Raw genomic sequence first — 16041 nt, forward strand, 5'->3', positions numbered from 1 at the left:
TGCCTAGGACAGAGCGGCTGAGGACCTGGAGATTCACTCTTAGAACTTAGGCTACCGTGGGCATCTGGACAAACCAGTCCAGGTGCTGGACAGACCAGGGCAAAGACAGGCCAGCTGGATCATATCACTACCTCCCTTCCCACCTAAGAGGACTTTGGGTAAACTGAGGCCAGAAACATCAAGGGACTTGCCAAGGTCCTAAGAGTTGGTGGCCTAGCTGGAGCAATACAAATGATGTTTAATGAGCATTTACTAAGTGCTTTAACGGTACTGATTCATCGAATCCTCCCATCATCCTATGAGGTATTATCTCCGGTCATAGGAGGCCCAGAGAGGTTCTGGAGCTTGCCCAGGTCACACTGCGAGTCAATGGCGAAGGGCTGACAATAGCACCCAGGGCTCGCGGTGTCCTCGGGGCCCCATCCGCTGCACCACCCAGCCTCCTCCCTTTGGCTCACAGCCCAGCTTCCCTGTGCGTGGGATCCGGAAAGAAGATCCCACTTCAGTCTACAGAGCAATGTTCCATTGGATCCTATTACTGAGCCATCTCCTTCATCCCCCTTTCCGCCCCCTCCTCTAGGTTTCCGAGAGGGAGCAGCAGGGGATTGGCGCCCGTTTCCCCGCCCGACAGCCCCCCGACCCGTGGCCCCATTACAGCGCGTGGGCGGCGATCCAGCAGGAGGAGGCGCAGATCCACAGGCCGAAGGAGATGCAGACGCGGTGGCGGGCGAAGCAGCGGTCCAGGTAGTCCCAGTCCCAGAGCGCGGGCGCGGGGCTGGGCGCCTCCCCCATGGCGCGGCTGGGCGCGCGGCGCGGGGCCGGGGACCTGGGCGCAGCCTCCCTCGCCGCGGGCAAGCCCCGAGCGCCGCCGCCCCGCGTGCCCTTCTCTGGGTTCCGTTCCGCCGCGGCGCCTCCGGCCGAGCGCACCGACCGCGGGCAGAGAAGGGCGCGCTCCCGGGCGCGGGCGGCGGCGGCGAAGGCGCCGGGGAAAAGTTTCCGGGACCGCGCGCTCCCCACCCCTCGCGCTATTGTCGGGGGTCGGCAGGGCGGAGGCCGCCCCCCAGCGGCGGGAGCCGGGAGCTGCGCGCGCACAAAGACTGCGGCCCCCGCCCCCCGCCGACCTCTTCGCGGTCACCCACCTCCAACATCCTGGCCGGAGCGGGGCGGGCGGCTGGGCTCGCGGACGGCCGAGTCCCTGCCGGTCGCTGTAAGGCACGGCGTCCCTTCCTGCGTATTGTCCACATTTCCTGAGCCAACAGCAATTAGTTGCGCTGCTGAAGCGCATGGGTGCTGGGATCCCGAGGTGAAGGGGGCGTGGTCCTGATCGCCGACAGGGCGCAGTAAAAAGGGTGGGGTGCAAGACCAGGAAGGAGGAAACAAACGTGCCGGAGAACAAATACCCCCACATCTGCCTCTCACTCTCCTTTCTGAAGCTGCCAACGGCACCCTCCGCCCCCAGGCAGTCGCCCAAGCCCTGCTCCTGGATGTCATCCTAGCCCACGGCCCCGCAGCCAAGAGCTGGTTATCTCTGCAACCGGCCGCCTCCTGTCCAGCCACACACCGCACAGTTCAAGTACACAGGGCTGTTTTTCTTGAGAGTAAACTATTATTGTAATTTTTAAATCTCCTTATTGATTTTAGTAGGTTTGTTTAAAGCAAGACATGACTTGAAAACAATATTTCTATAGAAGGAGCAGGATTGAAAAAAAGAAAAAAAATCTTTTTTAATTTTCAAAAACTACAGCTTTATTTAGATATTATTTATATGCCATAAGCATAGTCTTTTTTTTTTTTTTTTTTTTTGAGACAGAGTCTCACTCTGTTGCCCAGGCTGGAATGCAATGGTGCGATCTCAGCTCCCTGCAGCCTCCGCCTCCCAGGTTCAAGCAATTCTCCTGCCTCCGCCTCCCAAGTAGCTGGGACTACAGGTGCCCGCCACCACACCCGAGTAATTTTTGTATTTTTAGTAGAGACGGTGTTTCACCATGTTGGCCAGGCTGGTCTTAAACTCCTGACCTCGTGATCTGCCCTCCTCAGCCTCTTAAAGTGCTGGGATTACAGGTGTGAGCCACCACATCCAGCCTACATAGTACTTTTAAAATGTACAATTCTGGCCAGGCACGGTGGCTCACAACTGTAGTCCCTGCACTTTGGGAGGCTGAGGCAGGCGGATCACTTGAGGTCAGGAGCTCAAGACCGGCCTGGCCAACATGGTGAAACACTGTCTCTACTAAAAATACAAAAATTAGCCGGGCATGGTGGTGCGCGCCTGTAATCCCAGCACTTTGGGAGGCCGAGGCAGGTGGATCACTTGAGGTCAGGAGTTTGAGACCACCCTGGCCAACATGGTGAAACCCCATCTCTACTAAAAACACAAAAATTAGCCAGGCATGATGGCAGGCGCCTGTAATCCCAGCTACTCGGGAGACTGAGGCAGGAGAACTGCTTGAACCTGGGAGGCGGAGATTGCTGTGAGCTGAGATGGCGCCACTGCACTCCAGCCTGGGCGACAGAGCAAGACTCCATCTCAAAACAAAACAAAAAATAAAATGTACAATTCAGCAGTTTTTAGTGTATCCATAGCGTTGTGCAACCAACATCACTGTCTACTTTTAGAACATTTTCATCACCCCCATCTGAAAAGAACCCGGCCCACTGGCAGTTACTGTCCACTCCCCTCAACACTCGCAGCCCAGGAATCGCAAATCTACCTTCTGTCTCTATGGATTTGCCCATTTTGGACATTCCACATCAATGGAATCATCCACTATATGACCTTTCTGTGACTTTCACTTAGCATGTTTTCAAGGTTCATTCATGTTGCTGCGTGTTATCAGTACTTCATTCCTGTTTATGGCTCATCATAATACATGGTATGGGTATTTTTATACCACATTTCGTTTATCCACTCATTAGTGGGATGTTTGGATTGCTTTCACCTTTGGGCTATTATGAATAATGCTGCTCTGAACATTTGTGCACAAGTTTTTGTGTGGACACAGGTTTCATGCTCTCTTGGGTATATACCTAGGAGTGTCCTTGCTGGGATCTGTGGTAACTGTGTTTAATGTTTTGAGGAATTGCCAGACTATTTTCCAAAGTGGCTACACTATTTTAGTGGTTCACTGTGTTTTCAAAGTTATGATTTGGCTTGGTAAGGTGGCTCATGCCTGTAATCCCAGCACTCTGGGAGGCCAAGGTGGGAGGATCAGTGGAGCCCAGGAGTTGGAGACCAGCCTAGACAACATAGGGAGACCCCGGTCTCTCAAAACAAAACAAAGTTATAACCTCTCAGGAGAAATGAAATCTAATCACTAATTTGATGGTATTAGATTGGTGCAAAAGTAATTGTGGTTTTGGCTATTAAAAGTACTGGAAGCGGTAGCTCACGCCTGTAATCACAGCACTTTGGGAGGCTGAGGCGGGTGGATCACTTGAGGTCAGGAGTTCCGGACCAGCCTGGCCAACATGGTGAAACCCTGTCTCTACTAAAAATACAAAAATTAGCTGGGTGTGGTGGCAGGCACCTGTAATCCCAGCTACTTGGGAGGCGGAGGCAGGAGAATCTCTTGAACCTGGGAGGCAGAGGTTGCAGTGAGCCGAGATCACGCCACTGCACTCCAGCCTGGGCAACAGAGCAAGACTCTGTCTCAAACAAACAAACAAAACAAAACAAAACAAAAAAAGCCAGATAAAAGTACTTTGGTACAAAAGTAATTGCAGTTTTGGCCATTAAAAGTAAGCTTTGGTGCAAAAGTAATTGCGGTTTTGGCCATTAAGAGTAAGCCACTTTTTTTGGCCATTAAAAGTGGCTTACATTTAATGGCCAAAACCGCAATTACTTTTGCACCAAACTATATTAGGTGGCGCCTTTAGGAACCAGAAAGCAGGCCCTTCAACTAAATCTGCAGGCACCTTGATCTCGGACTTCCTAGCTTCCACAACTGTGAAAAACAAATCTGTGTTATTTACACGCCACTCAGTCCAAAGCATTTTGTTATAGTAGCTCAAATAGACTAAGACAGGCATTGCGTTAGGAGCTGGGAACACACTATTGAGTAAAACAGACATGGGTCCTACTTACTTGGAGCTTACAGTCCAGTAGGAGAGACAGAAATTAAGCAAGCAACTGGCGGGGCACTGTGGCTCACGCCTGTAATCCCAGCAATTCGGGGGGTGAGGCAAGTGGATCACTTGAGCTCTGGAGTTCGAGGTCAGCCTAAGTAACATGGTGAAACCCCATGTCAACAAAAACTACAAAAAATTAGCCTGGCGTGGTTGCATGCATCTGTAGTCCCAGCTACTTGGGAGGCTGAGATGGGAGGATCACTTGAGCCCTGGAGGCGAAGGTTGCAGTGAGTTGAGACTGCACCACTGCACTCCAGCCTGGGCAACAGAGCAAGACCGTGTCTCAAAAAAAAGAAATTAAGCAAGCAACTGAACAAAAAGATACAATTAAAATGGTTTTTACCAAAAAGGGCCAAAATTAAAATAATAAAACAATTAAGATGAAGTGTTATAAAATGAATGGAGGAATGAGTGAAGTGTTAAAAGAAAAAAAATACATAACCAAGTTTCTCATAGTCTATAAATACTAAGTACCCACAGGGTCTTTCTAGCTGAGCCACTGCCCACACTGTTGAAGGACCCCGTCTGAAATTCCTGCCGTGTGTTCCTGGAACTTCTGGTGTGTCCTGTGTGCTTATCAGGGGTCATCTCTGCCTTTACCTTCCTCAGATACTAACCTGTGATTGCCTGGATCCTAGCTCTCCTGGGGACATTGCCCACCTGCTGCTCACTCTCCTGCTAAAGCAGGGAAGTGCCCCACCCAGTCTTGTGTCATCCTCCCACCAGGCCCTGGGGCAGAGCTCCCTGTGCTGTGAGTTTTGTAGAGACTTGGAGAACGGCTCAGCATGAACCCTCAGAGCTGGGCCTGATTTAGAAGGTGCTTCACTCCTCCCCACCTACTCTGGGCTGGGCTTACACACCTCAGCAGTTTGTTCTTAGATTAGTGGTTAGTTCTTAACCTTTTTTTGTGACCCGTTTGAGAATCTGAAAAAACAAAAACAAAAACACCTCATCCTTGAAAAATATGAATATATGTGCACACCACACATAGTTCCTCATACAATTTAAAAAAAATTATGAACCAGCCCCTACCCACTGAAATTCAACTATGGATTCCATGGAGCCCAGACTACAAACCCCCGTTCAAGGGTTTGAGTCCTTTGCTTCGAGTCCCCTGCCTGAGCAGTTGGGGCAGCGTGGTCCATAGATCGCTGGTATCACAGCCACTCTGCCTATCAAGAACATAGACATACTAAATCCAGCTCCTGGGCACGTGTCCTTGGACTCGGCATGGATTCATTTCCGGTGGCCGCTGTAACAAATCAGCACAACTTCAGTGGATTCCCTCACAGTTCCGGAGGCCAGAAGTTAGAAATCAGTTTCACTAGGCCAAAGCCAGGGTGTCAGCAGGGCTGTACCCATTCTGGGGGCTATAGGGGGAGAATCTATCATTCCCTTGCCTCTTCCAGCTTCTGGTGGCTGCCAGCATTCCTTCCCTTAATGGCGTCACCCAGGTCGATCCATCTCTGCCTTTCGTGATCACATTGCCTTTTCCTCCGTGTGTGTCATGTCTCCCTCTGCCTCTCTCTTAGACACTTGTGATTACATTCGTGGTCTACTCAGATAATCTGCGATAATCTCCCCATCCTTAATTTAATCACAACTGGCTGGGCATGGCGGCTCACCCCTGTAATCCCAGCACTTTGGGAGGCCAGGGTGGGCGGATCACAAGGTTAAGAGATCGAGACCATCCTGGCCAACAAGGTGAAACCCCGTCTCTACTAAAAATGCAAAAATTAGCTGGGCGTGGTGGTGCGTGCCTGTAATCCCAGCTACTCGGGAGGGATTACAGCTACTGAGGCAGGAGAATTGCTTGAACCTGGGAGGCAGAGGTTGCAATGAGCCAAGCTCGTGCCACTGCACTCCAGCCTGGTGACAGAGACTCCATCTCAAGACCAAAAAAAAAAAAAAAAATTTAATCACAACCACCAAGACCCTTTTTCCATATAAGGTAACATTTGCAGTTTCCAGGGATTAGGGCCTGATATATTCAGGAACCATTGTTCAGCCTCCTACACTGCATCTCCACAAGCTTCATGACAATTCTTACAAGAAACTATGGGTTTTGGAGATGGCCCTCAGTCGGGGAGCTGCTCCCAGTCACTGGACAAGCTGGCTCACGTAAAGAAGCAATGGGAGGCTGGGTGCGATGGCTCACACCTGTAATCCTAGCATTTTGGGAGGCCGAGGCGGGTGGATCATTTGAGATCAGGAGTTCGAGACCAGCCTGGCCAACATGGTGAAACCCTGTCTCTACTAAAAATACAAAAAATAGCCAGGCATAGTGGTGGGTGCCTGTAATCCAGCTACTTGGGAGGCTGAGGCAGATCACTTGAGCCCAGGAGGCGGAGGTTACAGTGAGCAGAGATCACGCCACTGCACTCCAGCTTGGGCGACAAAACAGGACTCTTGTCTCAAAAAACAAGCAAACAAACAAACAAAACAGAAGCAATGGGAAGAGTGTGGGCTCTGGAGCCTGCTGATCTTACACTGGAATTTTCCCTCCGCATTGCAGCAGCTGTGCTGTGACTTGGGGCAAAACACTGGTCCTCTCTGCACTTGTGTGTTCCTTTCTGTAAAAGGAGGAAGGTCAGCTAATGGGGGGGAGACATGCAGCTCAGTTCTTGGTTCTCATCCCTACCTATCCTCTGTTGGGGATCTCATTGGGTCTCTGGCTTTAACTACTGTCCCTGTACCTGCACCTCCCGAATGCGCAGCTCCAGGTCCCTCCTTCTCAAACTTTAGACTCACATACGCAGCTGCCTACTTGATAACTTGACGTCTCCCCTGCATGCCTAATGCACACGTCTAAAGCCAAACTCCTGGCTCTCCCTCACAGGGCTCTTCCACCGCAATCATCCTTGCTTCAGCTGACTTGCCGTCCTGGTCCTGGGGGCCCAAGCCCCAGTGCCTGCGCCACTCTATTACAAAGACACCTCTAAAGGGTGAAGAGTGCCGTCTTTCTACCAGGCTGTGAGCTTCTTGCAGCCAGGGTTGTTTAGTTTACACTTGCATCCTCAGCTTCTAGCTCAGTGCCTGGCACATAATAAGGAAAATATTTACTGAATGAATGCACTGATTTTTTGATTTTTTTTTTTTTTGAGACTGTCTTGTTCTGTCTGTTGCCCAGGCTGGAGTGCAGGGGTGTGATCTTGGCTCACTGCAACCTCTGCCTCCTGGGATTACAGGTGCGTAACACCATGCCCGGCTAATTTTGGTATTTTTAGTAGAGACGGGGTTTCACCATGTTGGCCAGGCTAGTCTTAAACTCCTGACCTCAAGTGATCCACCCGCCTCAGCCTCCCAAAGTGCTGGGATTACAGGCGTGAGCCACCATGCCTGGCCGGATATGCTGATTTTTAAACAAGCCATAAAAATACAACATGTACTACAGCAGGGGCATCTTTAAAGTACATTGACGACACCCCGCATTGTGGGCGGGGGTGTGTGGGGGAAGGTTTCCAAGAAATAATGCATAAGCTGGGCCTTGGAGAATGTTTGCTTTTGGCAACAAGGCCATGGCAGCAGCTCTGCAGAGGCCCTTGGAGGCGGCAAGAGATGGTATAGGGAGAAAGGCAAATAGCAGAGGGAGGGCAGCACCTGCAGGAGGGGAGGCGAGACGGTCAGCGTTCGGTAGCGAGGGAGTCGGGACTTCATCCTGCCGTGAACACTTTGGACGGTATCTTCTAACTAGCTCCCTCTGGGTCATTAGAACCCTGCCCAGGTTCTCCCTGTACTTTCCACAGGGCTCTGCACGTGGTCGGCCCTCAGGAAATGAATCAGTTCCTTAACCAGGCTCCTCAGAGGTCCAGCAGCTGCCCAGGAGCTAAAGATAATGTTTTTGGCCATGGTTCAGAGTTAGCCAAAAAGAAAAACTAACAAGAGGACCGCAGCACTTGTCCTCCTGGACAGTGGGCAGTGATGTGACTGCTCAAAGGCATTTCCTGTTGGCAGAGGTGGCAGGACCTCAGGCACCGTCCTTCTGAAGGAAAGGCTGCAGCGGCCTGGGCGGCCCTACGGGAGTGGGCAGCCAATGGTGACCATAAATCCCAGCCGCCTGGCGGAGACAGGCCAGCAGCTCAACAGCTTTCTCTTCTGGGAGGGCACGTTGCTTGAATCCGGGAGAGGGAGGTTCCAGTGAGCCGAGATCATGCCACTGCACTCCAGCCGGGGCGACAGAGTGAGACTCCGTCTCAAAAAAAAAAAAAAAAAGAAAACCAGAAATACCAGAGACAGTAATTTATAAAGAAAAGAGGTTTAATTGGCTCACGGTCCTGTAGATGGTACAGGAAGCACAGCAGCTTTTGCTTCTAGGGAGGCCTCAGGAAACTTACAATCATGTTAGAAGGCGAAGGAGAAGCAGGCACATCTTATATGGCCAGAGCAGGAGGGAGACAGAGGGGAGGCACCACACACTTTGAAGCAACCAGATGTGATGAGGACTCAATATCAGGAGAACAGCACTGAGCGGGTGGTGCTAAACCGTTCGTGAGGACTCTGCCCCATAATCCCATCGCCTCCCACCAGGGGGCTTACATTTCAACATGAGACTCGGTGAGGACACAGATCCAAACCACATCAACAGTGCTTTCATGCTTTTGATTATCTTTTGTAACTATGTTATTGAACTATAATTTACATACCATACAATTCACCAACGTAAAGTGTGTAATTCAATGGTCTTAAGCATATTCAGAGTTGTGTGACCATCGCTACAGTCAATTTTAGGACATTTTTATCACTGCAAAAGAAAGACCTCAATCTTCCCATTCCTCCCATCCCGAAGCAACCACTAATCTACTTCCTCTATATGGAGATTTGCTTATTCTGGACATTTTAAATAAGTGGAATAACCAGTGAAGATGGGGGCTAGGTAGTAAATACCGCAGCTTCCCTGTCACCCGGTGGTTACATTCTACATGTTCCTTAGTGGACGTGAGCCCCCGCTGTACACTAACTGAACCCAAGTCCCTTGTTTAGAGTCGGAGGAACCCAACTAGGACACTCAGAATGGGGAATTTCTCTTTCACCTTCGTCCCAAATGTGTCTCGTGAACCATCCCTTGCAAATTTTTTTTCTTGTGATGCAGTCTCACTCTGTCGCCCAGGCTGGAGTGCAGCGGCGCAATCTCCATTCACTGCAAACTCTGCCTCCCTGGTTCAAGTGATTCTCCTGCCTCAGCCTCCCGAGTAGCTGGGATTACAGGTGCGCGCCACCACGCCTGGCTAATTTTTTTGTATTTTTAGTAGAGACGGGGTTTCTCCATGTTGGTGCGTGAGCCACTGTGCCCGGCCAGGAGTAGGATTCTCGGGCTCCCAGATGACTCCTTTTTGTCAGAGTTGGTGTTTCCAGGAGGCCCTTGGTCTTGACATGGAGACTGTTGGGTGCAGCCGTGCTCTGCAAGAGCAGGGCCCGTTCTACAGTGCTAGTGTCTTGGGACGGTTCCACAGGCAACAGGCAGCTTCTGCTCTTTTCCATCTGCACAATGCAGATGACATTTCTGTTGCAGCCCAACCTCACATATCCAGGTGCTTGTAGAGTCTACGACTTTTTTCTTTTTTATTTCTGTTGCCATGTTTTTTCCAGGGCTTCCCCGCCCCGTTCTCAGAGCTCGCAGTGGATGCAGTCACTACACCACTCCCGGGCTTGTAACCCATCACAGCCTGGACTCCTTTGGTCAAAGCCCTCACATTCTCCTAGGAAATAAGAGAAAACATTATCTGAGCTGTCAGCAGGCTATCCTTTAAGGGATATGCACAGTACTATTAGTGGATCACTTCAAGATAAAAAGGAGTCAGTCACTGGGTGAACTTCCGCCCCCCTCCCCTTCACTGGTCCTCTTTCTCCCCCCAGCATTCTGTCTTCAGTTCATCTCTTCCCCCTCCTCATTCCCTCGTCAACTTTGTTTAGTCCCATACTTTCAAATGCCATCTACAACTAGACTTAATACCAGCTGTGTTCTGGAAATTTGTCTTAATATCAAAACTTAACCTGTTTCAACCACATTAGAAATGGACTCTAAACAAATTTTAAGTTTACTTAGTAAAAAAAAAAATTAGTACCCTACGATTTGCAAGTTACTTATAATAGTAAAATATTACTCTAGAGGTTACAGTTTAGACATATGAATTATATTAAAATTATGACAAGTTTTCAGCTTTCTTGTACATAGCTTTTAGAAACCTGTAAACATTTAAAATTTCACATGAAATGTTCTGTATGACAGCTGTAGGCCCAAGAATAAACTTGCAATCTTTTTGCATGTTGGTAAATTTTCTTCCAAATACTGGTATGTACCAACTTGAAAATAATTCAAACTAGGAGCTACAAACATCTAAGTTTTATCCCAGCTTTGCAATTTAAAGCATGCCCTTGGGTAACTCAGTCTCTTTGAGCCTCAGTGTCCTCAAGGAATAATACTTGCTTGGCCTGCTTCACAGGCTCATTGTGTAAGGCATGCAGATAAAGCACGGGATAAATACAAAAACATTCTCTGGATATAGCTGATCACCCCATCCTAACCCCTGTCCTATTTTCGCTATAGTAGTCACTTAAAAACATTTTTAACCTACACTGGGTACAATTATGTGATTTAGCTCTTTTGCATGTACATTTGACCTTTAAAATACTGCCTACAAATTGTAGCTGTGATATAAGCAACTGAAGTTATCAATATTTTAAAGTGCAGAAGACATTTATGAAGTCTGTTTCTTTAGCACTTTCTATCACCAAATGTGTTGGCTCAGAGAAAAGACAACTGACTAAATGGGTGCAAATATTTGTAAATCATAAATCTGATATGGGACTTGTATCCAGAATATATAAAGAACTCTTACAACTTAATAATAGACATTTCTCTAAAGAAAATATACATGTGCCAACGAGCACATAAAATGACGCTCAGCATCACTAGTAATTAGGGAAATACTCATCAAAACTATAATGCAATACGTCACATGTATTAGGATGGCTAAAATAAAAAAAAAATGGGAAATAATAAACATTGACAAGGATGAGGAGACAATTAGAAACCTCCTACATCACTGGGAGTAATGTAAAACAGCACAGCCACGTTTGGAAAGTTTGGCAATACCTCAAATGTTAAACATGGAGTTGCAATACAACCCAGCAACCCCACGCCGAGGTATATACTCAAGAGAGACGAAATCCATGTCTCCACAAAAACCTGTACACAAGTGTTCATTACACCATTATTCATAGTAGCCAAAAAGTGGAAACAACCCAAACGTCCCTCAAATGATAAATAGATAAACAAAATGTGGCATATCTATACAATGAAACATTATTCGGTAATAAAAAGGACTGAAATACTGACACAGGCTACAACATGGATGAATGTTTAAGATACCACGCTAAATGAAAGAAGCCTGTCACGAAGAGCACACAGTATGATTCCAGTCACGTGAAGTCTCCAGAACAGGCAAATCTGTTCATAAAGATTGATTATTGGTTGGCAGGGGCTGGGGGAAAAAAGGGGACAGGCAGTAACTGCTAATAAATAAGGTTTCGGCCGGGCGCGGTGGCTCACGCCTGTAATCCCAGCACTTTGGGAGGCCGAGGAGGGTGGATCATGAGGTCAGGAGATCGAGACCATCCTGGCTAACAAGGTGAAACCCCGTCTCTACTAAAAATACAGAAAATTAGCCGGGCGTGGTGGCGGGCGCCTGTAGTCCCAGCTACTCGGGAGGCTGAGGCAGGAGAATGGCGTGAACCCGGGAAGCGGAGCTTGCAGTGAGCCAAGATTGCGCCACTGCAGTCCGCAGTCCGGCCTGGGCGACAGAGCGAGACTCCGTCTCAAAAAAAAAAAATAAAAATAAATAAATAAATAAATAAATAAATAAATAAATAAATAAGGTTTCTTTTGGGAATTATTAAACCCTTTTTGGAATTATTAAACCCTTTTTGGGGTTAATAAAATGTGTTTATGGCATGTGATACTCAATAAAGCTGTTATAAAAAGAGTGTTGGATCAGAAGTTTAAGAAAAGCTTTAAAACTTACTTGATGGAAAAAAGTTTTGTCAACGATATTTTCAATCTGCTTTGCTTTTTTATTTCTGCCTAGCTGCATTTTTATTTCATCACTGTTCATTTTGTTCTCTAGGAGTCGCTGGTGTTGATGCTGAAAAGTTACAGGATCTCTTCCAGGAGGAGGATGGCAGTACAGCAGCTTACCCTACAAAGACAACATGAATGACAACAGTGCAGCCTAAGTGCCATCTGTGGCCTCAGAGGAGACAGCTCCACCCAGTCACACTCTGATGGAGCTTTCTGCCTTCTGGTTAAGTTAGCTGAGTTGAGTTTTGGTCTACTGCAGCTGAAGAGTCCTTTTTCTAATACATCAATGGTCAAAGTGTTCTAGAGACCTAGCTCTTCCCATGGCGCCCCAGACTAGGATGAAATCTCTTTCTTCTTTTCTCGTTTGCATTCCCACTCAAGTATTCTTCAGTATACGGACATGATCATACTTATGGTGAATATTTTCCAAAACAAAACTCAAGACATAACTGGACAGTTACGGTAATGCCGGGTTAGACTGTTAAAGTCAGGAGAGTTCCTCGACTCCTGTATGTGGGGTTGCAGTTGCTCACTGGGTGCAAGTCTGCCTCTTTCCATCATAAATGATCTGAAGGCTGTGACTATTTTTACCTCATCTTTACATCCTCCACAGTAAGTGGTAAACGAATACATGACTTATCCATACCAATAGCATGAACTGCTTTCTTCCTGAACTGAAGGCAAGCCCATATGGTTGCCACTGAGCTCCAAGAGCTCCACCGATGTGGTCTTGAGAAGAGGAGGAAATAAAGCCAAATCCTCACAACTGGTTATTAACAGGGCCCTGTAATGCTTATTTGTGGAAAGAAACTTAATAGATAACAATTACTGGGGGCTCATTATGTGCCAGGCATTGAGCTTAGTGCTACACACACACACACACACACACACACACACACACAGACAGACACACACACACACACACACACACACACACACACAGACAGACACACACACACACACACACACACACACACACACACACACACACACAGAGTTTTCATTTATTTCCCATAATAATCTCATGAGATAGGCCCTGTTCATCTCCATTTTACTATGGGGAAACCCCCAAATAGCATGTTCTCATTTGAAAAGGAGAAATAGTAATCTCACAGACTTGTTACATATTTGTACTGAGAAGACGCACGTAAAACAGAACTATTTCTAGCAGGGTTAGCTTTCAAGAAATGTTAGCTGTTATCGTTACTAGGCAAATATAGAGATAGGCATATAAACAGCTATACTACAAAGAAGACTGTGACAATAGTTGCAATCATAACAAGCAAAGGGCTGTAGGAGACAAAAAAAGCCAGATGCATATATTGGTGATTTTCACTCATAATAGGTGTTCAGAGATCTCCATCTTTTGTAATGTCTATAATCCATATAATGTTAACTACCCTACATCAAGAACACAACTCCAGTTTCAATGAAAAAATATTTCCTTTATAATCGAACAGGTTACCATTATCTAAGAACGCAGAATGTGGAAAAGACTTGTGTATTGGAGAGCATGAGAGGCAGGGTTCACTTACACTGACATAGTCCTTCAGGATGTAGCGCGCAGATCGAGGCTGGTCTGGCTGTCCATGCGCTGTCATGAATCCTCGCATGTCTGTGGAGAGAAAAGAATTTTGCAAAATCTTAGATGACAGAATATCACAACAAAGACAACTGAGGTGATGTAGCTTCTATTACTAAGCATTCTTACTCTTGGATTTTAAAAAATTAGGTATCATTGTAGAATATATATTGTTTAGCATTAAAAACACTAGATAATCCAGGAGAATATTTACTTATATCTGATATCCTAAAAATGCCACCTAGCACCACGCTATGAAAGACAAATTCGATTTCTCTCTACTCCAGTTATTTCTTCTCTTTATTTTATTTTTATTTTATTTTTTGTTGAGATGGAGTCTCGTTCTGTTGCCCAGGCTGGAGTGCAGAGGCACAATCTTGGCTCACTGCAACCTCCACCTCCCAGGTTCAAGCAATTCTGATGCCTCAGCCTCCCAAGTACCTGGGATTACAGGCGCATGCCACCACGCCTGGCTACTTTTTGTATTTTTAGTAGAGATGGGGTTTCACCACGTTGTTCAGGCTGGTCTTGAACTCCTGACCTCAGGTGATCCACCCACTTCGGCCTCCCAAAGTGCTGGGATTACAAGCGTGAGGCACTACACCCAGCCTCCTTATTTTAAACATTTATTCATGGAGGCTACCTGTAGGAGAATGCTACGCTATCAATACTACTTGCAAAACAGAAAGCAACAGAGAAGTTTTCTTACTGAATGATGTACCTACATTTTTTTCCCCAGTAAGATCCCTTTAATACTAACTCAATTAGAAAAGCAGCGAAGCATGGTGGTTAAGAACACGGCTTCAGCAGACAGGCTGCGTTCAAAACTCAGTTCCCTCACATACTAGCTGTCGACTGGCTTTTCCAGTTTCGAAGAAAATAGTTAGAATCCTAATTTACACAATATACAACAATAAATTTCGTCAGATTAAAAATCTAAATGTTAAAAAAGTAAGTAAATATTACAGGAAGATAGTTTTATCTTTTTGGGAGGGAGAAGACCTTCCCAAGTAAAACACCAAACCCAGTCAAACCAAAAAGGAAAAATATAGTCTATTAAAATTGTCAACTTCTTTGGGGCCAAAGAAACCATAAATTAACATTGGAAAAAATGTGTAGCACATATAACAAAGAACTTTTACAAATCATTAAGACAGAACCATGTATAGGAAAATGTGATTCCCAGAAGAAAAATAAATGGTCACAAAACATTTGGAAAGATGCTCAACTTCACTAGTATTTAAAGAAATACAAAGTAAAATGAGAGTAATCTGGCAATATCTTTGAAAATTTACTGTCAGAGATTTTCTTCTATATGGACTTGCAGATAGTGAACTTAGAAATTGTACGTGTGGTCATTTGCTTTTACAAACTGGCTTTTTCCTTACTCTGATTTTATCAGGCAGCATTAGATGAAACATCTTAAAAGACTCACATTATTTTCAGTTGTATCGGAAGTACAATCAAACTGGAAGTTTGGTGGAAGTCCACCTTTCTGCATTTTGCAGGCTAACATCCTGCAGGGAGATCTCACCCAGGCTATTCCACTGACCAGCCACCTCACCTTGGGTCAGCTCAGGCTCTGAGTTCGGATGATTACTCTTAAAAGCAGGGGCTAGGAGGTGAGGTGATCTTTAAGGTCTTTTCTTGTTCTATGAATCTGTAATTAGAATAGTCTTACCACAAGTGTTTAGTATTTATCCTCTTTAGAGTCTCTAAGTTCAAGGTTTAAGTGTGATTCATATCAAATCACCTTTCACCTTTCTCTGCCAGTAAATACTCAAATAAGCTGAACTCCTTCCCAACCAGCAGCAATCCCTGTAAAGGCAAGTCACCCACGCACGGAAATGTTTCCCACACTGCTATTTTTTTTTTTTTTTTTTTTTTTAGGTAGACACAAGGTTCTCCAGGCCACCTTTAAAGTTTACATTTAAGGCAAGAAATCATAGGTTCCCACGTGGAATTGGGATAAAACACAGAGGTGGGAGAGCTGTGGACTCATCTTAATGTCAAATAAGTTTACAGGGGCTGATGGGAGAGGAAGGAGGATGCTTTGTGCCCCTATCCTAACCAAGCTCCACTCTGTCCCCGTCTCTGAGGGGTCTCCCTTCTGGTGCTCCCCTCCTAACTCTCCTGCCTCGCTGTGGCGTGCGGATTCATTTTCTTCCACACATCCGCTTTCTTCTTGTTTGGGAGACGACTCCAGAAAGAGCCAACACAGCCTACGATGAGAACCCCTGTGCTGCACGTGGGT

At 46.5% G+C, this 16041-nt stretch overlaps 2 protein-coding genes and 1 long non-coding RNA gene across 6 annotated transcripts in view, besides 2 other annotated features; 1 reads left to right on the forward strand and 2 right to left on the reverse strand.

Moving 5' to 3' along the window:
- TMEM44 (transmembrane protein 44) overlaps positions 1-996 on the reverse strand; it is a 45742-nt gene extending 44746 nt beyond the window's left edge. For all 4 annotated transcript variants that reach the window (NM_001166306.2, NM_001011655.3, NM_138399.5 and 1 more), the window contains exon 1: positions 656-996. In NM_001166306.2, the coding sequence (NP_001159778.1) occupies positions 656-792 (137 nt within the window). In that variant the 5' untranslated portion in view covers positions 793-996. The remainder of the gene's footprint in view (positions 1-655) is intronic.
- On the forward strand, positions 505-15006 carry TMEM44-AS2 (TMEM44 antisense RNA 2). The gene is made up of 2 exons (NR_186047.1): positions 505-744; positions 12252-15006. It is a non-coding gene; the product is annotated as a TMEM44 antisense RNA 2 (long non-coding RNA).
- Positions 765-1194: a silencer, noted in NCBI's record as "silent region_15026". NCBI's record gives its function as "represses an Ori minimal core promoter by ATAC-STARR-seq in GM12878 lymphoblastoid cells {active_cell/tissue: GM12878}" and the evidence as "EXISTENCE:reporter gene assay evidence [ECO:0000049][PMID:35858748]".
- Positions 3745-4246: an enhancer, noted in NCBI's record as "H3K4me1 hESC enhancer chr3:194356897-194357398 (GRCh37/hg19 assembly coordinates)". NCBI's record gives its function as "activates a minimal SCP1, AML or CMV promoter by ChIP-STARR-seq in naive H9 embryonic stem cells {active_cell/tissue: H9 hESC(naive)}" and the evidence as "EXISTENCE:reporter gene assay evidence [ECO:0000049][PMID:30033119]".
- Positions 8368-16041, reverse strand: part of LSG1 (large 60S subunit nuclear export GTPase 1) — a 31401-nt gene continuing 23727 nt past the window's right edge. The window contains exons 12-14 of the mRNA NM_018385.3: positions 13741-13820; positions 12150-12323; positions 8368-9824 (exon numbers count right to left, since the gene is read on the reverse strand). Of these exons, the coding sequence (NP_060855.2) occupies positions 9645-9824; positions 12150-12323; positions 13741-13820 (434 nt within the window). The 3' untranslated portion in view covers positions 8368-9644. The remainder of the gene's footprint in view (positions 9825-12149; positions 12324-13740; positions 13821-16041) is intronic.

This window comes from Homo sapiens, chromosome 3, assembly GCF_000001405.40.
Source record: "Homo sapiens chromosome 3, GRCh38.p14 Primary Assembly".
Lineage (NCBI taxonomy): Eukaryota > Metazoa > Chordata > Mammalia > Primates > Hominidae > Homo > Homo sapiens.